Here is a 21165-nt window from a genome sequence, read left to right on the forward strand (position 1 = left end):
ACCACTTATTTGCTAGACAGGTTAAGCACTTACCTTGGCTAATCTCATTTAATGTTCACAGCGAATTTAAATTTGTAGTTACTGTTGAGATTCTAATCCCAGAGCTCCTGTTCTTAACCACCATTATACTGCCTGCCATGAGAAATGGGCCCTAAAGAGTTATTTGGGTCAACTAAACATAGGTAGTTAGGGAGTATAAAACACTCCCTGACACCACTTTAACGAATGCTGGAGTAAATCAACTTTAGGATGCAACTTTTTTTTTGAGACAAGAGTCTCGCTTTGTCGCCCAAGCTAGAGTGCAGTGGGGCGTTGGCTTCCTGCAACCTCCGGCTCCCAGGTTCAAACGATTCTCCTGCCTCAGCCTCCCCCGAGTAGCTGGGATTACAGGCGCCCGCCACCCGCCACCACGTCCCGCTAAATTTTGTATTTTTTGGTAGAGACGGGGTTTCACCATGTTGGCCAGGCTGGTCTGGAGGTCCTGACCTCAAGCGATTGCCCCGCCTCAGCCTCCCAAAGTGCTGGGATTACCCACCGCGCCTGGCCGGCAACGTTTTCCTAACGGTGACTGGAGTAGCAGACTGGCGTGAACAGGAATGGGCTTCAGGTGAGGGTCTAGCGTTGCCCCACGGACCAATCCTGGTTGACGAGGCTAAGGGAAGCCTAGCAACCACGCAGAAGCCCGGCAATCTTCCGCAGCGCTCCCATCCTCCACAAGTCCTTACAACAGCCCCAGCACCACCCGCGGGACCAAATGCTGAAGCTGGGAGCGGCGACAGGGAAGCGCTGGCTCCCAGAATGGAGGTAACGGCTGCTGCGGCCTGGGAGGCTTACCCGGAATTAAGGGCGAGGCGAGGAGATCCGAAGGAAAAGGAAAGCTTCACCCCAAGTTACCCATTTGCCTCTTTAGGCTGGGTTGCCAGAGCCCTTGGCCTGGGAGAAGGACTTTTAAGGTATGAGTTCTAAAGTGCTCTTTACACCCAAGTATGTTGCTTAGGATCCCAGCCTTCGCTATAGCCACAGGGCTGACCCAAAACCCTACGGAAGTCAGACCTGCAGGCCCCTCTTGAACATGTTGCTGAGAAGGTAGCCATCTATGGTCTGGCCAGACCTAGGAGGTTTTAGATATTTAACTTATCGAAAAATGTTAGACCTGTATTCAGATGAACGGATTTTTGTTACTTTCATTGGCTACGTGATTCTCTGTGATTTTATCCAGATTTTGTGGCTCAGTTTGTAGGAATTGCAACCCAACCCAGCACAGCCCGCATTTCTCAACTAAAAGTGTAAATAGGAGCCACTTTTCCCTCTCCAAATTCTTACCTGTTTTATTTTCATCTTATGTTCTTATGTCTGCAAGCTTCCTCCAGCATTTTTTGGTGGTTTTTTTGAGGGCAGGAGGGAGCAGAAGCCACTAAATAAACTTGGGCTTGGGTCTACACTGAAAACCAAAAATAGATTTAACTTTTGCAAACCAAAAAGCATCTGAGATAGGTCTCAATAAATTTAGAAGTTTATTTTGTCAAAATTAAGGACATACCCGGGAGACAGGTCTGTATGCCTTTCTCCAAAGATGATTTTGAGAGCTATTTAATGGTGAAAGGCAGGCTGGAAGGGAAGGAGGGAGGATATGGTCACATTACTGAATCCACATGTTGCAAGAGAAAAGGAGCAGGTAAAGGAATAGTCAGTGTATTGTCTGACGCTCAGTAAATTCACACTTCACGTAAGATACTGTGAGATGTTTAACCTTTTATCTGTAGCTATCTGCTTAGGAACAAAGGAAGGGCAGTTTCTTGGATGACTCAGCTTTCAGCTTAATTTTTTCCTTTTGGCATAGTGAATTGGGTCCCAAGTTTTTATTTTTGTTTCACACTCTTTACAGTACCTAATTAATGCAAAGGAAATAATACATTTGGGGACCCCAAATGTTGATCACTAACTTAAACCAAAGTTACCAGGCAAATTAAAATACCAGTAATGATACTAAAATATTTAAATGACTAGACTTGTTCTTGGAGTGGAGCATTTCGGGCAAGCCAATGTTCATGGATTTATAGTGGCTAAAAATAATCTTGAGGTGAGCCAACTAATTTTACAGATGAGAAAATAGAAGGCCAAAGTGACATACGTGACATACATACATGACATACGTGAGCACACACAGCTAATCTAGTGCTCTACTAGTTCCACTTTAAATGTTTATATTACTGTAAACAAAGATAAGTACTGAAAAAAAACAAATTTTACTGCAAAGCCAAATGAAAAATGACTTGAGATTGTCACCTTTCTCCCTTTACAAACATAAATAATCAAGAGTTAACTGTTAACCTTGTGAAAGGAAAATAAATCTTGGGGCTCCTAAATCACTAAGCTAAAGGGAAAAGTCAAGCTGGGAACTGCTTAGGACCAACCTGCCTCCCATTCTGTTCAGAGTCACCCGTCTGCTCACTGAAATAAATGCATATCTGATTGGCGTCTCCAAAGGATTGTTCTCCAAATGATGTTTTTTTCCTAGATGAGTAGATCCTGAGTTATTAGGAAAGCTCATTTTAGCAGGTTTGTGAAGTCTCATGTCCTATGAAGAGAAAATAAGGGGAGGAAGGCAGAAAAACAATAAACAAAAGAACAATCCTGGAAAATCTATATAGGCCACATTGTTCTGAAGTCCATAGATCTGTAGGCAGGTATGAAAGTGGCTTATGTATGTAAGTAGGTTGCTGTTATTTTCTTCTGAAGTTTAAGTTGTCTAGCTTCACTTTGCAGGGCTTTACGAAAGCACAGCTTAGTTTTCAGTGACTGAAAATTAGGAAAAATGGGGAAAAAGAAGGAAAAAAATTGAAAACATTATTTTGCAGTCTTGTAGCCTGCAAAATAGAAAGATTAGAATTCAGTCCAAAGTAGAAAATAATAAAAATTGAAAAACATTAGGCAAGACTAGAATCTAAGAACAGATGTACTACAGTTTTTGAAACATAATTTTTCTCCAGTTTCCCATTTTTATTAAAGACAAATCATGGTAGAACTGATTCACTTTATTAAACTTGTTCTGACTATTTGTATACAGTGCAGCAAGAATAATTATTTGTTTTTACATAGGCTTTTAAATTGGCTTTGATGGAACTTTGTTCCATAGAAGGAATCTCAGATAAAATTTTTTTAAAGCCAAGCCCAGCCATGGATTTGTACCATCAAATACCTATGAGTTGGGTGAATTCCTCTCTGAAGTTCCAAGATAAACTTGGGGCTCCTGGGCCTGTCAGAAAGTGACATTCTTTCTAAATTAACTGAGACCTGTCTCAGATTTTCGGAGTTCACAACTTTATTCTAGAGCTTTCATTTAATCTCACCTAAACGTGATAAGTTTTATTTTTAAACCCTTCTTCACTGTTTCCAGTAATAACTAGTATGAACCTGAGAACATATCTCAATCAATTTAGAAAGTTTATTTTGCCTAGGTTAAGGATACACTTGTGACACAGCCTCAGAAGGTCCTTACGACGTGTGCCCAAAAGTGGTCAGGGTACAGCTTGCTTTTATACATTTTAGGGAGACATGAGACATCAATCAATATGCGTAAGATGTATATTGGTTCAGTCCAGAAAGGCAGGACAACCTGAATCAAGAGGCTTCCAGGTTATAGGTAGACAAGAGACAAAAGGTTGCATTCTTTTGATTCCTTGATCAGCCTTTCATTGAATACACAATTTAATCTGGCTCAGTGAGTCTCAATTTTTATATAAACAATAGGGCAAAGGAAGCAATCAGGCATTTGTCTCAGGTGAGCAGAAGGATGACTTTCTGTCCGAAACCCGTGAGGATAAGCTATCAGTTTACATTGCCAGGGTGAAATTCAACAGAACTGTTTTAGGGTAAAGATCTTGAGGCCCACAAGGAATTTCCTTGTGGGCAAAATATGAGGGAGGTACATAGCTTTTAAAAATCTTTGTAGCCATCTTATTTAGGAATAAAATGGGAGGCAGGTTTGTCTGATGTATTATAGTTCACAGCTTGACTTTTTCCTTTGCTTATTTTGGGGATCCCAAGGTTCATTTTTTTTTTTCAGACTAGCAACACACTATTGGACTGTCACAACTGCTCTCAGAGGTTTTCTCTGCTTACCTGATTTTTGGTCACAATTCCTATTCCTCCTTAAAACACTACAAATTAATGTAGAGATATTTTCTCTAGCTTTTAAAAATTCTGTCCCAGTGGTTATCAACTTTGAGCATAATCAGAATCACCTGGAGAGCTTATTAAGCGCTGATTGTTAGACACTGTGCCCACAGTTCCTAATCTTGAGAGTCTGGGGTGGGACTGAAAATTTTCACTTCTAGTAAGTTTCCAGATGATGCTAATGCTACTTGTCAGGGAGCCACACTTGGAGAACCACTGCTCTATCTCATGTATCAAAGTTCCCCTAACAGTCAATCTCAAGTCAATTTCTATAAGCCCGTATTTCTTACTGACTTCTACTAAAATCTGCCAGACAAAAAACAAACCAGGGCTTAGAAGATCTCAACCTGACTATGCTGTTATAGACATCCATTTCTTCATCTCTGAAATCAAGATGCTGAACTTGATCTCCAAGTACACAATCGTTTCTAACATTCTGTTATTTTGTTTCTTCCTGTTTTTTTTTTTTTTTTTTGAGTGTCAGCAGGATTTGGAACAACCTTTTTCCCCTTACTTATGTCTACTATTAAACATATTTAAATACCTCTGAACTAGCTCACTTTTTCATAAAATCTTTTAAACTAAAGCCGGGAGGGGTAGACTTCTTCCACTCTACTTTAGTTGGACACAAAATCACTATAACAAACTCCTTCATCTCTATCTCCTTTACTTATAGCTACATTTCTTAGTTTATTCAGTGATATTTATTATTACAGCACTCAGTACTACTGAACAGAGAATATAGAGAGAAGACATTCCTTGCCCTCTAGAGGAAACAAAATAAGAGCAATATAATATAAATGTTTTGGTGAGGTTTTGTAGTATTGTTAATCTATATGGGTCTGCAGAACCCTCTTGGAAACCAACCTAAAGTTTCTAGTTGTTCCTTAAATTAAATAGTTTTTTAATTTATAAAGAACTTAAATATTCAGATAGAATTTTCTAGTTAACATTTACACCCAGATGCTTAATAAGACAAAGTAATGACTGGTAATTTAAAATGATCTTTAATTTTGAACTTATTTGATATTTAAGAACTTTCTTATAGGTATTTTAGTTATGTTTTGTAATTTAGATGATAGAAATGAATGAGTTAAGAAACAGGCAAGAAATTGTGAATGGAGCGAACATATTTATGGGGAAAAATGGTATGTTTTCATGTTCTTTCTTTACAGAGGCATTTTTGTTTTTAAAGTGGCTTTAATTTTACTTTAGACACTGGTAAATTACAGCATCTTAACTTGCAAGATGGTGATGCTGTACTGTCAAAAATATATTTTAAGTAATTCACTAATAACAATAGCAAAAAAAAATTCTACATTTTTACATGTAAATTACTAAATACGTATGATACTCGTTATCTATTTTGAAGTTATTTGCACTCTTTTTTGGTCTTTTCTCCTTAGTTTTCTTAGTCAATAGCTGTTGTAGAAGAAACACTTCCCCATATACATAGTAATAATTCTTGATCCCAGATGAAAACAAGATTCCCAGCCACACACACACATTCAGCTTTTAAATTGTCAAAGACTTTATTGAAGCAATTCAGTTTTAGCTGTATTCCCCCATAAAAAAATAAAATAAAATGTCCAATCCTCTGCCCCTAAATTGAAAGGACAGTACTTCATGTTTTGTAGGTTTCTTTGTTATGAGTTTGAGGATACTCTGTTTATGCTAGTATATGAGTATGGGACTTCTCCAACTTTAATGTGCATATGAATCTCTCTGGGCTTCTCTGATTAAGTAGGTCTGGGGTAGAGTCTGATATTCTGCATTTCCAGCAAGTTCTCTGGTGATGCTGATGCTGCTGGTTCAGGGATAACACTTGGATTAGCAAGAGTGCACATAATCCTGAAGCGCTAGATTCCTGAAATAGAATACAGATAGATTTTTAATGCAAATATACACTGAAAATAAAATAATCAGATTAATGAATCTGCTTATGGCTCTCTATTTGGGAAGTCAGATTTATGTTTTCTCATGGGACATCATTCTTTATTTAGAAAATCAGATTTATATATCTCAAAAATGTTATGAGGTAGCTGGATCTGCCATCATTTCTTTATTGTACACATAGGCATACCCCCCATGAAGAGGTGGGATCTGTTCCTCCACTCTCGAATCTGAGCTAGTTTATGATTACTTTGCCCATTAGATTATAACAGACGTGATGCCATACAACTTCCAAAACTACGTCATAGAAACCTTGCAGCCTTCCTGGCTATCTTGAAATGGTAACTGTGGGGAAGCTAATCACCTTGTGAGAAGTCAGTCTACCCTGAGTCTGCCATTGTGTAAAAAGTACAAGCTAGCCAGATAAAGAGACTATGTGTGGAGAAAGAGATATTTGACTAGTTCCCAGTTGTTACAATCATCTCAGCTCTGGTGCCAGACATTGAGTAAAGACATCTTTGGATAACTTCACTCTCAGCAGCCATCTGATTACAACTATATGAGGTAGCTCAAGTGAGAACCACCCAGCTGAGCTCGTTAACCCCCAGAACCATGAAATAAAAATTGCTGAACCATTAAATTTTGTGGTGATTTGTTTTGAAGAGATAGATAAGCAGAACACTTACATTATGCTAATTTGAGGAGTTTTATTACTGAAAGGCCTTTTTGGTCTTCCAGAAAATGATCAGTATAGGGATTGGAAATTCATCTGACGTTTTCTACAAATAATATTATGGTCTTGATTTTTTACATAAATATGTAGCATTTCATTTTTTAAATTAAAATGTTCTAGCATTAATTTTTATTTTATTTTATTTTATTGAGATGGAATTTGACTCTTGTCACCCAGGCTGGAGTGCAATGGTACAATCTCGGCTCACTGCAACCTCCACCTCCCGGGTTCAAGCGATTCACCTGCCTCAGCCTCCCCAGTAGCTGGGATTACAGGTTCCCACCACCAAGCCCAGCTAATTTTCGTATTTTTAGTAGAGACGGGGTTTCACCATGTTGGCCAGGCTGGTCTTGAACTCCTGACCTCAGGTGATCCACCTGCCTCAGCCTCTCAAAGTGCTGGGATTACAGGCATAAGTCACTGTGCCCAGCCTAAATGTTCTAGTATTAATTTATGTATGAGTCATGTCTTATGATGCCTTGGAGATTGGGGATACCAGTATTTTTGAGGCTTCTTTATAGATCTAATTTGTTGCTTTGTCACACAACCACTAGGGTTTTCCATTTTCACCTATCCAGGCAATCAAACTAGGAGTGAGAAAACAATTAATATACTTTATTGAACATTAGCTTTTCTTTTAACTTTGATCCATGTCATGTTTTGTCTAGATATTGCTCCCCACAGTAGTTCTTGAGGCACTCTCCTTTGAGCATTACTTCTTTCATAAGGAATGATTTAGTCCCATTTATAAACTTATTTAGTTACTCAGTATTTACCAAACATCTATCATAAACATCCTGGGAGATTGAAGACACAGAGCAATTCAAAATTAAAACATAATCTGTCCTCAAGAAGATTTTGGTCTTAAGTGAGAAAAGTCCACAAATAACCATAATAAACCAATGTTAAGTCGGAAGAATAGAAATGCAGGAGGGATCAGAATAAATAAACGTCATATCAGCAAGGTGATCAGCTTCATGAAGAAAATGGCACTTGAGCTCAGCAATGAGGGCTGGGAAGGTTTTCTTTTTTGTTTCTTAATTAGAAGTTAAGGCATTCTAGACATAGGGAAGAAAAGGATAGAGGTACTAGGTATGAAACATTCAGAACTGTGCCATAGCAAACATTCAGAACTGTGCCATATGTGCCATAACAAAGCTATGGCAGCAAGGTGTGAGGGAGAAACTCAAGTCCAGTTAGAGGCCTGTTGCAGTAGTTAGAGCACACACACAAAAATGCAGGCCCTGAAAATTAGAAGGAAGAACAAAGATTAGTGGAGATGAACTCAATAAGACTTGTTCTTGCTTTTTTTTAAATTTTTTTTATTATTATACTTTAATTTCTGGGATACATGTGCAGAACATGCAGATTCGTTACATAGGTATACACGTGTCATGGTGGTTTGCTGCACCCATCAACCCATCATCTATTTTAGGTATTTCTCCTAATGCTATCCCTTCCCTAGCCTCCCACCCGCTGACAGGCCCCAGTGTGTGATGTTCCCCTCCCTGTGTCCATGTGTTCTCATTGTTTAACTCCCACTTATGAGTGAGAACACGCAGTGTTCCTGTGTTAATTTGCTGAGAGTGATGGTTTCCAGCTTCATCCATGTCCCTGCAAAGACCATTAACTCATCCTTTTTATGACTGCATAGTATTCCATGGTGTATATGTGCCACATTTTCTTATTCCAGTCTATCATTGATGGGCATTTGGGTTGGTTCCAAGTCTTTGCTATTGTTGACAGTGCCGCAATAAACCTACATGTGCATGTGTCTTTATAATAGAATGATTTATAATCCTTTGGGTGTATACCCAAAGTAATGGAATTGCTGGGTCAAATGGTATTTCTGGTTCTAGCTCCTTGAGGAACTGTTCCACAATGATTGAACTAATTTACACTCCTGCCAACAGCATAAAAGCATTCCTGTTTCTCCACATCCTCTCCACCATCTGTCATTTCTTTACTTTTTAATGATCTCCATTCTAACTGGTGTGAGATGGTATCTCATTGTGCTTTTCATTTGCATTTCTCTAATGACCAGTGATGATGAGCTTTTTTTCATGTTTCTTGGCCACATAAATGTCTTCTTTTGAGAAGTGTCTGTTCATATCCTTCACCCACTTTTTGATGGTTTTTTTTTCTTGTAAATTTGTTTATTTGTAGATTCTGGATATTAGCCCTTTCTCAGATGGATAGATTGCAAAAATTTTCTCCCATTGTGTAGGTTGCCTGTTCACTCTGATGATAGTTTCTTTTGCCCTGCAGAAGCTCTTTAGTTTAATTAGATCCAATCTGTCAATTTTGGCTTTTGTTGCCATTGCTTTTGGTGTTTTAGTCATGAAGTCTTTGCCCCTGCCTGTGTCCTTAATGGTATTGCCTAGGTTTTCTTCTAGGGTTTTTATGGTTTTAGGTCTTATGTTTAAGTCTTTAATCCATCTTGAGTTAATTTTTGTATAAGGTATAAGGAAGGGGTCCAGTTTTAGCTGCATCTGGCTAGCCAGTTTTCCAAACACCATTTTTTAAATAGGGAATCCTTTTCCCATTGCTTGTTTTTGTCAGGTTTATCAAAGATCAAATGGTTGTAGATAGGCGGGATTATTTCTGAGGCCTGTTCTATTCCATTGGTCTATATATCTATTTTGGTACCAGTACCATGCTGTTTTGGTTACTGTAGCCTTGTAGTATAGTTTGAAGTCAGGTAGTATGATGCTTCCAGCTTTGTTCTTTTTGCTTAGGATTGTCTTGGCTTTTCAGGCTCTTTTTTGAAATTTAAAGTAGTTTTTTGTAAATCTGTGAAGAAACTCAATGGTAGCTTGATGGGGATAGCATTGAATCTATAAATTACTTTGGGCAGTATGGCCATTTTCATGATATTGATTCTTCCTATTCATGAGCATGGAATGTTTTTCCATTTGTTTGTGTCCTCTCTTATTTCCTTGAGCAGTGGTTTGTAGTTCTCCTTGAAGAGGTCCTTCACATCCCTTGTAAGTTGTATTCCTAGGTATTTTATTCTCTTTGTAGCAATTGTGAATGGGAGTTCACTCATGATTTGGCTCTCTGTTTGTCTGTTATTGGTGTTTAAGAATGCTTGTGATTTTTGCACATTGATTTTGTATCCTGAGACTTTGCTGAAGTTGGTTGTCAGCTTAAGGAGATTTTGAGCTGAGATGATGGGGTTTTCTAAATATACAATCATGTCATCTGCAAACAGGGACAATTTGACTTCCTGTCTTCCCATTTGAATACCCTTTCTTTCTTTCTCTTGCCTGATTGGAGAACTTCCAATACTATGTTGAATAAGAGTGGTGAGAGAGGGCATCCCTGTCTTGTGCCAGTTTTCAAAGGGAATGCTTCCAGCTTTTGCCCATTCAGTATGATATTGGCTGTGGGGTTGTCATAAATAGCTCTTATTATTTTGAGATATGTTCTATCAATACCTAGTTTATTGAGAGTTTTTAGTATGAAGGGGTGTTGTATTTTGTCAAAGGCCTTTTCTGCATCTATTGAGAAAATCATGGGTTTTTGTCATTGGTTCTGTAAATGTGATGGATTACGTTTATTGATTTATATATATTGAACCAGTCTTGCATCCCAGTGATGAAGCCGACTTGATCGTGTTGGATAAGCTTTTTGATGTGCTGACGCATTCGGCTTGCCAGTATTTTATTGAGGATTTTCGCATTGATGTTCATCAGTGATATTGGCCTGAAATTTTCTTTTTTGTGTCTGCCAGGTTTTGTTATCAGGATGATACTGGCCTCATGAAGTGACTTAAGGAGGATTCCCTCTTTTTCTATTGTTTGGAATAGTTTCAGAAGGAATGGTACCCTCTCCTCTTTGTACCTCTGGTAGAATTCGGCTGTGAATCTGTCTGGTCCTGGGCTTTTTTTGGTTGGTAGGCCATTAATTACTGCCTCAATTTCAGAACTTATTATTGGCCTATTCAGGGATTCAACTTCTTCCTGGTTTAGTCTTGGGAGGGTGTATGTGTCCAGGAATTCATCCATTTCTTCTGCATTTTCTAGTTTATTTGCATAGAGTTGTTTATAGTATTATCTGATGGTAGTTTGTGTTTCTGTGGGATCAGTGGTGAAATTCCCTTTATCATTTTGTATTGTGTCTATTTGATTCTTCTCTCTTTTCTTCTTTATTAGTCTGGCTAGTGGTCTATTTTGTTAATCTTCTCAAAAAACCAGGTCTTGGATTGATTGAGTTTTTAAAGGGTTTTTCGTGTCTCTATCTCCTTCAGTTCTGCTGTGATCTTAGTTATTTCTGGTCTTCTGCTAGCTTTTGAATTTGTTTGCTCTTGCTTCTCTAGTTCTTTTAATTGTGATGTTAGGGTGTCAATTTTGCATCTTTGCTGCTTTCTCCTGTGGGCATTTAGTGCTATAAATTTCCCTCTAAACACTGCTTTAGTTGTGTCCCAGAGATTCTGGTACTTTGTGTCTTTGTTCTCATTGTTCAAAGAACTTATTTATTTCTGCCTTAATTTTGTTATTTACCCAGTAGTCATTCAGGAGCAGGTTGTTCAGCTTCCATGTAGTTGTGTGGTTTCAAGTGAGTTTCTTAATTCTGAGTTCTAATTTGATTGCACTGTGGTCTGAGAGACAGTTTGTTATTATTTCTGTTCTTTTGCATTTCCTGAGGAGTGTTTTCTAATTATGCGGTCAATTTTAGAATAAGTGCAATGTGGTGCTGAGAAGAATGTATATTCTGTTGATTTTGGGTAGAGAGTTCTGTAGATGTCTATTAGGTCTGTTTGGTCCAGAGCTGAGTTCAAGTCCTGAATATCCTTGTTAATTTTCTGTCTTGTTGATCTATCTAATATTGACAGTGGGGTGTTAAAGTCTCCCACTATTATTGTGTGGGAGTCTAAGTCTCTTTGTAAGTCTCTAAGAACTTGCTTTATGAATCTAGGTGCTCCTGTATTGGGTGCATATATATTTAGGATAGTTCTTCTTGTTGCATTGATCCCTTTACCATTATATAATGCCCTTCTTTGTCTTTTTTTAAAAATCTTTGTTAGTTGAAAGTCTGTTTTATCAGAGACTAGGATGGCAACCCCTGCCTTTTTTGCTTTCTATTTGCTTGGTAAATATTCCTCCATCCCTTTATTTTGAGCCTATATGTGTCTCTGCACATGAGATGTGTCTCCTGAATACAGCACACTGATGGGTCTTGACTCTATCCAATTTGCCAATCTGTGTCTTTTAATTGGGGCATTTAGCCCATTTACATTTAAAGTTAATATTATGTGTGAATTTGATCCTGTCATTATCATGCTAGCTGGTTATTTTCCCCGTTAGTTGATGCAATTTCTTCATAGTGTCGATGGTCTTTCAAGTTGGTATGTTTTTGCAGTGGCTGGTATCGGTTTTTCCTTTCTATATTTAGTGCTTCCTTCAGGAGCTCTTGTAAGGCAGGCCTGGTGGTGACAAAATCTCTCAGCATTTGCTTGTCTGTGAGGGATTTTATTTCTCCTTCACTTATGAAGCTTAGTTTGGCTAGATATGAAATTCTAGGTTGAAAGTTCTTTTTTTTTCCTTTTTTTTTTTTTTTTTTTTGAGACAGTCTCATTCTGTTGCCCATGCTGGAGTGCAGTGGTGTGATCTCGGCTCACTGCAACCTCTGCCTCCCGGGTTCAAGCGATTCCCCTGCCTCAGCCTCCCAAGTAGCTGGGACTACAGCCCCATGCCACCATGCCTGGCTAATTTTTTGTATTTTTAGTAGAGACGGGGTTTCACCGTGTTAGTCAGGATGGTCTCAATCTCCTGACCTCATGATCTGCCCACCTCGGCCTCCCAGAGTGCTGGGATTACAGATGTGAGCCACCAAACCCGGCCGAAAATTCTTTTCTTTAAGAATGTTGAATATTGGCCCGCGCTCTCTTCTGGCTTGTTAGGGTTTCTGCAGAGAGATCTGCTGTTAGTCTGATGGGCTTCCCTTTGTGGGTAACCCGACCTCTCTCTGTGGCTGCCCTTAACATTTTTTCCATTATTTCAACCTTGGTGAATCTAATGATTATGTGTCTTGGGGTTGCTGTTCTCAAGGTGTATCTTTGTGGTATTCTCTGTATTTCCTGGATTTGAATGTTGGCCTGTCTTGCTAGGTTGGGAAAGTTCTACTGAATAATATCCTGAAGAGTGTTTTCCAACTTGGTTCTGTTCTGCCCATCACTTTCAGGTACACTGATCAAATGTAGATTTGGTCTTTTCACATAGTCCCGTATTTCTTGGAGGTTTTGTTCATTCCTTTTCACTCTTTTTTCTCTAATCTTGTCTTCACACTTTATTTCATTAAGTTGATTTTCAATCTCTGATATCCTTTCTTCTGCTTGATCGATTCAGCTATTGATACTTGTGTATGCTTCACGAAGTTCTCATGCTGTGTTTTTCAGCTCGTCAGGTCATTTATGTTCTTCTCTAAACTGGTTATTGTAGTTAGCAATTCCTATAACCTTTTTTCATGGTTCTTAGCGTCCGTGCATTGCATTAGAACATGCTCCTTTAGCTCAGAGGAGTTCGTTATTACCCACCTTCTGAAACTTACTTCCATCAATTCGTCAAACTCATTATCTGTCCAGTTTTGTTCCCTTGCTGGCGAGGAGTTGTGATCCTTTGGAGGAGAAGAGGCGTTTTGGTTTTTGGAATTTTCAGCCTTTTTGCACTGGGTTTTTCTCATCTTCGTGGATTTATCTACCTTTGGTCTTTGATGTTGGTGACTTTCGGGTGCGGTTTCTGTGTAGACATCCTTTTTGTTGATGTTGATGCTATTCCTTTATGTTTGTTAGTTTTCCTTCTAACAGGCCCCTCTGATGCAGGTCTGCTGGTATTTGCTGGTGGTCCATTCCAGACCCTGTTTGCATGGGTATCACCAGCAGAGGCTGCAGAGCAGCAAAAATTGCTGCCTGTTCCTTCCTCTGGAAGCTTCGTCCCAGATGGGCACCTGCCAGTTGACAGCCAGAGCTCTCCTGTATGAGGTGTCTATCAACCCCTGCTGGGAGGTGTCTCCTAGTCAGGAGGCACAGGGGTCAGAGACCCACTTGAGGAGGCAGTCTGCCCATTAGCAGAGCTTGAGTGCTGTGCTGGGAGATCTGCTGCTCTCTTCAGAGCTGGTAGGCAGGAATGTTTAAGTCTGCTGAAGCTGCACCCAGAGTCACCCCTTCCCCCAGGTGCTCTGTCCCAGGGAGATGGGAGTTTTGTCTCTAAGCCCCTGACAGAGGCTGCTGCCTTTCTTTCAGAGATGCCCTGCCCAGAGAGGAGGAATCTAGAGAGGCAATCTGGCTACAGCAGCTTTGCCTAGCTGCGGTAGGCTCTGCCCAGTTCCAACTTCCTGGTGGCTTTGTTTACACTGTGAGGGGAAAATCGCCTACTCAAGCCTCAGTAATGGCCGTCGCCCCTCCCCCTACTGAGTTCAGGTGTCCCAGGTCGACTTCAGACTGCTGTGCTGGCAGTGAGAATTTCAAGCCAGTGGATCTTAGCTTGCTGGGCTCTACTGAGCTAGATCAGTTAGCTCACTGGCTTCAGCCCCCTTTCCGGAGGAGTGAACAGTTCTGTCTCATTGGTGTTCCAGACACCACTGGGGTATGAAAGAAAACTCCTGCAGCTAGCTCAGTGTCTGCCCAAACAGCCGCCCAGTTTTGTGCTTGAAACCCAGGGCCCTGGTGGCGTAGGCACCTGAAGGAATCTTCTGGTCTGCAGTTTGTGAAGACCATGGGAAAAGCATAGTATCTGGGCCAGAGTGCACCATTCCTCATGGCACAGTCCCTCAAGGCTTCCCTTGGCTAGGAGAGGGAGTCCCCTGACCCCTTGCACTTGCCGGGTGAGGCGATGCCCTACTCTGCTTCAGCTTGCCCTCCATGGGCTGCACCTGCTTTCTAACCAGTCCCAGTGAAATGAGCCGGGTACCTCAGTTGTAAATGCAGAAATCACCTGCCTTCTGTGTTGATCTCACTGGGAGCTGCAGACCAGAGCTGTTCCTGTTCGGCCATCGTGCCAGCCACCTTTGTGCTTGCTTTTATCTGTACAGCTGGCCCTCTCTAACCATGGGTTCTGCATTCGTAAGTTCAACTGACTGCAAATCAAAACATTTGGGGAAAAAAAGGCAATAAAAAAATAACAATATAGGAGTATGTACATATGTTATATGAAAATACTCTGCCATTTTATTATAAGGGACTTTAGCATCTGTGGGTTTTGGCATCCACTATGTGGATTGGTCCTGGAACTAATCCCCTGGGCATATCAAGAGATGACTGTATATATAAATTTCCAGACATCATAGGCATTACGGGTGACTCAATTTGCATCTATCTGCATACATTATAGTACCATTAGGAAAGGCCACATTATACGGATGGGCACTGGTGGAAGGGTCTGGCTTCAATAAAAACAATTATCTCAGAAAATGTGTTTACCAAATATATATCCTTGTACATTAGGTAATAGACCAAGAATCTCTTTAGATGCTGCTTTTAAAAATAAAAATTAGTGTGATATTCATGTCTTAGAAGAGCAGAATGAATACTTCTACTATCAGATACTTATATACAGAATCTTTGAAAGATAAATGAACTTTGCAGCTTAAGGGTAGATTAAAATAATTTTCTTTATATTATAACACATTTATGAAGTAATATTCAGTTTAATCTCCCTGATCAAATGCCCCTTTCTCTTAGAATGGATATCTGAAGTTGTTTTTCTATCTTACCTATTTCTTCCACAGGTAGAATTTGCATCCACATCTTTTGGGCATCCTCAAATAAAATCTTGTTTATTATTGAGTTAGAAACAAGAACTAAAGCTCACTGAACTCACTGAGTTTCAATAATGCTTGAAACTACCTAATCAATTTTAGACTTTTTTCTTCTCGGATCACCTCATCTGGTCTCTGTCTTCTCATGACCATATCAGACAATTAAATTTTATTTACATAAGTTTCTTTCTACTTTTAGTTTTCCTCTTAAATATTATTATATAGTATTGTTATTTGTTACTACATTATTATATAGTATTAAATGTTAATATATAGAAAAATTAATACATATCATTATGTTATATAAACAATATTTCTTATGCTTGAAATAGTCTCATTTTCTTAATGTGAAAGTTTTTGATGTCTTTTCTTAAAATGCCTCTCATAATATCTTATTTCAAATATCAGGAAAGATTTGTTTTTGTGATTTATATATTTAAAATGTAAAGGCCATACTTAAAAACCTTAACCAAAAAGTACCAATTACAATTTAGAAAATTTAGAATCAAATATAAAATATTGAGTATTAAACATTAATATTAAATATTTAAAACTTCTCAGTACTGAATTCTAGACAATTGAAAGAACAACACTAATGAAAGAAAAAAAACAAAAAAGTGACTTGAACACTATTTGCAAAAAGGACATGCAATTGGTTACAATTAATGAAGAAATAAAATTAGATCACAACCATTAACATAAAAGAAAATATTAAAATGAAAGAGCAAAGGAAAGAGAAAGTGGAAGAAAACAGTCTGATTAGAGAAGAAGAAAGGGAGTGAAAAGGAAGATCACCACGAAACTTCCACCGTTTTCTCCTCTACTTGCATTTTATAAGGTTCTGCACTAGTATGTAATCCTAATGCCTGGATACTCCAGCTGGCCAAAATCTCCTATTTTTATTTTTAACACTGAACTCCTATACCCTAGCACTTGTGTTGACCATTCATTCAGTGCTTATATTAAAGTCAGTAAGTATTGTGACTTTTCTTATATTGCTTCACTTCTCTTTATCTTTATTGCCTAGCGATAATCAAACTAGTCTCTTCTAGTACTACTGGAGCCTAACCCAGAAGGCAATCTATTAATATTTGTATTTTTGAATAAAATACTTTATTTAGCTCTCTTTTTCTCCAGTTCTAACTCTGCAGGTGTTAATGTACCAATACTGGTCTTACTGCCCTTGCTCTCCAAAGGAGAAGCATCATGGGAAATAGGATTAATGTTTTATTTGGGACCAAATATTGAGGGGACTTGAATATCAGGCTAAAGGTTTTCAACATTGGAAAGAGCAACTAAATGTTTTTGAATAGGAAGGTAACACAATCAGAACTATATATAAGGAATATTAGTTTAAAAGCATGCTTAAGATGAATCAGAATGAATAAGAAGAGAGGTGGGAGATCAGTTTAGAAAATCATAGTGCTATTACCCAGTCACGGTGGTACATGCCTATAGTCCCAGCTACTCCAGGGGCTGAGGCATAAGAATCAGGAACTCAGGAGACGGAGGTTGCAGTGAGCCAAGATCGTGCCACTGCACACCAGCCTGGGCAACAAAGTGAGACCCTGTCTCAAAAAAAAAAAAAAAAACATACTGCTAAAATTTCATTTATGTATGTTTTAGTCATCTCACATTCATTGTGTTCTTTCAGTATATTAATAGAAGTTTCTTTAGAAGAACTTGAAGAAGAATTTGACTTTCTTGAGATATACAAATATATTATTTCTAAACTTAAATTCAATCATAGTAAAATTTTAAAGCATATATATTTTTTCAGTTTTCTAGTTCTGATACTTGCCAGTAAAATGTGTTAGTGACTTTGGAGGATGACAAAGATGGAACTTAACAAGAATGTTGAGTTTATGCTATACATGGACAAAAAGATGCTTTAAATTTAATTTTATCTTGATTTTCATAACAACAAATATTCTTATATTTGCCTAGGGGAAAATGTACATTTTGTTATCTTTCTTTGTGTCATGGCTTTCTAGGTTCCTTGTACTTATTCCTGTCTCTGTACTTTTTCCCGCGTTCCATATGGGCCTAAATGTTTCCAGATTATCTCTTATTTGTTCTTTCCCAACTACCAAATATACCTCCCTTTTTCTGAATTTGGTTGATCTTGGCTAAACGTTAAAGGAAAAGGAATCAGATAGAAGTGGTTTATATCAATGCAAATGATATAAAGATGCATTCTATCATAAAGGGAGAAAACATAATATGAATGACTGGAATATTTGGATCTTAAGATTCAGTCTCTAATTAATTGAATTTTAGGCAATATAGGGATATATTTTTGCTGTTTGGAGAATATTATCTACTTTCATATGCATGTAAGATGGGTCCTCATATTACATTTTTCTTTCCCCAAAGGATAAAGAAAGAGAAACTATAAGTGAAGATGGTAGTTCAAAAGAAGCACATGATATGTCAGTGAAATATATTTAATATATATTTTTTAATTTTAACTTTTATTCAAATATAAGGCATATATGTCCTGAATTTCAAAATCAGTAATGCAATATGATGTAAGACTGTGGACTTTGAGGCAGGATAGCTTCAGAACTGAATTCCAGCTCTATTCATTACTAGCTGTGTTACTGTAGACTGTTAACTTTTCAATGAATGTACTTCCTCTATGTTGAATGGGGATAATGTTTACTTTGAAGAGTTTGTAAAGACTGAGAGAAAATGTAAAGCAACTAGTGCAAAGCTTGGGATATAGCAGATACTCAACAAATATTACTTCGTATTTCTTATTTCTTTTTATCTATTTCTTAAGGGAATTTTACAATTAAAAAGCAAATCATTTTTAAAACACAGAGTCTGTCTCTGTGCACCTAAGTATAACAAACCTTGTTATATATAATTTTTGGTAAGCTATTCATCATGACAGTGTTTTAGAATTAGGTACCATCTTAATTATTAGATATTGACAATAATTTGATACTGTAAATTACAGTTAACTTTCTATTAAGCTAATGAAAGCCCCTTTTTAACTACATAGTTAAAATATTATGTATTCTGTGAAGTTTGCTTTAGAATATGAATATTTTTGGTCTGATTTTTTACAGTTCTTCAAAGACAATAATAAGAACATTTTGGAGACCCATCTTAAGCAAATCTGGTAATTTACTGAATTTCTCTATCCTTTCTTCTTAGATCCTTCTCTTACAAATCTATTTTGGAAATAGTTTGCATCAGCTTTCAATGGCATAAAATATCTTTCTAAGGTAGATCTGAAAAACTATCAGTGTAATATCTACTTAGGTTGGTTAAGTTTTATATATTTCTTGGGGCAAATTAATTAAATTAATGAAAGCTTATCTTCCAACTTCTCTTTGTTTTGAATAAACAAATAATCTTTATTTCAGCAAAATGCTCTGAATGGGTAACAGTGTTGAATAATTTAGAAGTTATATGTACCCCAGACATTTTACTAAATCCTCTCTAGAACTTATAATTGAATGAAATAGAAAAGTGAGAGTAGGGCTGGCCTCAGTGGTTCACACTTGTAGTCCCAGCACTTTGGGAGGCTGAGACGGTGGATCGCTTGAGCCCAGGAGTTTGAGACCAGCCAGGGCAACATTGTGAAAACCCCATCTCTACAAAAAATATAAAAATTAGCCTCCCATGGTAGCACACATGTACTCAGAAGGCTGAGGTGGAAGATCTCTTGGCTTGAGCCCTGGGAGGTTGAGGCTGCAGAGAACTGTGATCATGCCAGCCTAGGCTACAGAACAAGACCCTGTCTCCAAAAAATGAAAAAAAAAAAAAGTGAGAGAATAGGAACTAAAGCAGCTTTTGGATGATTCAGGGTAGTAATATAATAGCTAACATCCATTGAAAACTTACTATTTACTAGACACCGTTCTAAGCCCTTTGTATAAACTCATGTAGAGAGCTAGGCATTGCCTGAATTTTAAGTACAGCTTATTGGTGATTTGAAATGAAAATAAAGGCTTCTATTTTTTTTTAAAGCATCCCCACAAACATAATTTCCCACCTACTTTCATCTTTTCTCTCATCCACACATTATTTGTACTGCATTTTGCATATTGCCTTTTTCATTTCCCAGTGTGCCCACATGCCTCTCTACTCATATCTTCTTTTGGCATGTGTATATATGCTTTTAGTTCACATGCACTTATATACACATAATCACCATTATAGAGTCCACCCAAGCTCTCAAGTTGGGAACATGGGAACCATTTTAACATCTCCCTGATTATCTTGTCAGTTCTACTTGAAAGTTTTTGAGTCTCTTTCCTCTTCTCAACCTATACTGCCACTGCCCTCATTCAAGCTCTAATCACTTCTGGCCTCAGTCATTTTAAAAGTCCTCGAACTAGTCCCTTCTAGTACTACCCAGGTCTTGTCTATATCCCATATTGCAACGAAAGAACCTTTCTCAAATGCAAATCTAATCAAATCACTCTCTTGTGTTCCTTGTTATAGTCAACCTTCTTAGTATGATATATCAAGCACTTTATAGTCTGACCTCCATATACATTTTCAGCCTTATTTCCAAATACTTTTTTATCTTCTACATGAACTTTGACATGTTAAGTTGCTTGAACTTATCTAAAATAAGCCTTGTTCTTTCCTGCTTCTGTATACATTCCTTGCTTTAGAATATACATATCCAATTTCCACCTACCTAATCCCTCCTCTACACCATGTCAGTTCTAGAGCTACCCAGCAAACTTCTATTTATCTTACAAGACTCAGAATTAATATTACTTATTGAGAATTCTTTCTTGATTTCCCTAAACAAATTGAGCACCCTCTTCTTTATGTTTTATAAGCTAGTTATTGTTCTGGGCTGACCTCAGTAACACAGTTTTTATAGCTTAGTGATAATGTCACTGCTGTGACTCTTAGCAGTTTGCAAAGTATTTTCATATGAATCAGCTAGCTTAGTAATTCTGTTTTGTATTACCTTTATGTGATCTCCTCTCCTTCATATAGATTCCTTGGAAAATATTAACTCTAATGTTTCCTAAGCTACTCTGTTATTATTTTCATTGAGATAATTGGTAACCATCTTGTCAGAAATGGGGTAATAAATGGTTGTTCAGCCTCCACTCTTTCTTGCTGCATGGTCTCCTTGAGGATCTTTGTCAATGGATTCAAACTTGTTTCTGTAATAAATTTGATTTTTTTTCCTATGGCCCAAACAGTGTATGAATGTGCATACATAAATGTGTGTTTTTTCCTTCATTTGGCTGTTGCCCTTTTTCATCTCTGTTGTCTATGCGACTACTGTCTGCCTTTTGTTTTTTTCCTCATAGATTACCCCTTTGACTATTACCCTCTTTCCTTTCTTTTATATTCTGTTATTATAAAAGTATTATCTATATTTCTTTACTTTTTACCTACTATTTAGTTTTTAGATTAATTCATGAATTGCAAAAATGTTGCTATTTATTTTAGAAATGGTAGAAAATTTTAAAGGAAAACAAATCTAAATCCCTACCTAGATACAATTTCTATCCTTTAAAAAAATTTTGTTTCTGTGCACATATATAGTATTCATGGAAATTATAATAGTATTAAACATCCTCGTCTGCATATTGCTTTTCTGGTTTGTCAATAAACAT

General features: G+C 37.7%; 1 protein-coding gene across 2 annotated transcripts in view; it reads left to right on the forward strand.

Moving 5' to 3' along the window:
- The window catches only part of AKAP19 (A-kinase anchoring protein 19), a 323923-nt gene continuing 303445 nt past the window's right edge, over positions 688–21165 (forward strand). Inside the window, exons 1-2 of one of the 2 annotated variants that reach the window (XM_047446008.1) lie at positions 688–804; positions 18637–18689. The gene's annotated coding sequence lies outside the window, so the exon portion shown is untranslated. The remainder of the gene's footprint in view (positions 805–18636; positions 18690–21165) is intronic. The other variant, XM_047446009.1, reaches the window with a different exon arrangement.

This window comes from Homo sapiens, chromosome 2, assembly GCF_000001405.40.
Source record: "Homo sapiens chromosome 2, GRCh38.p14 Primary Assembly".
Taxonomy (NCBI): Eukaryota; Metazoa; Chordata; class Mammalia; order Primates; family Hominidae; genus Homo; species Homo sapiens.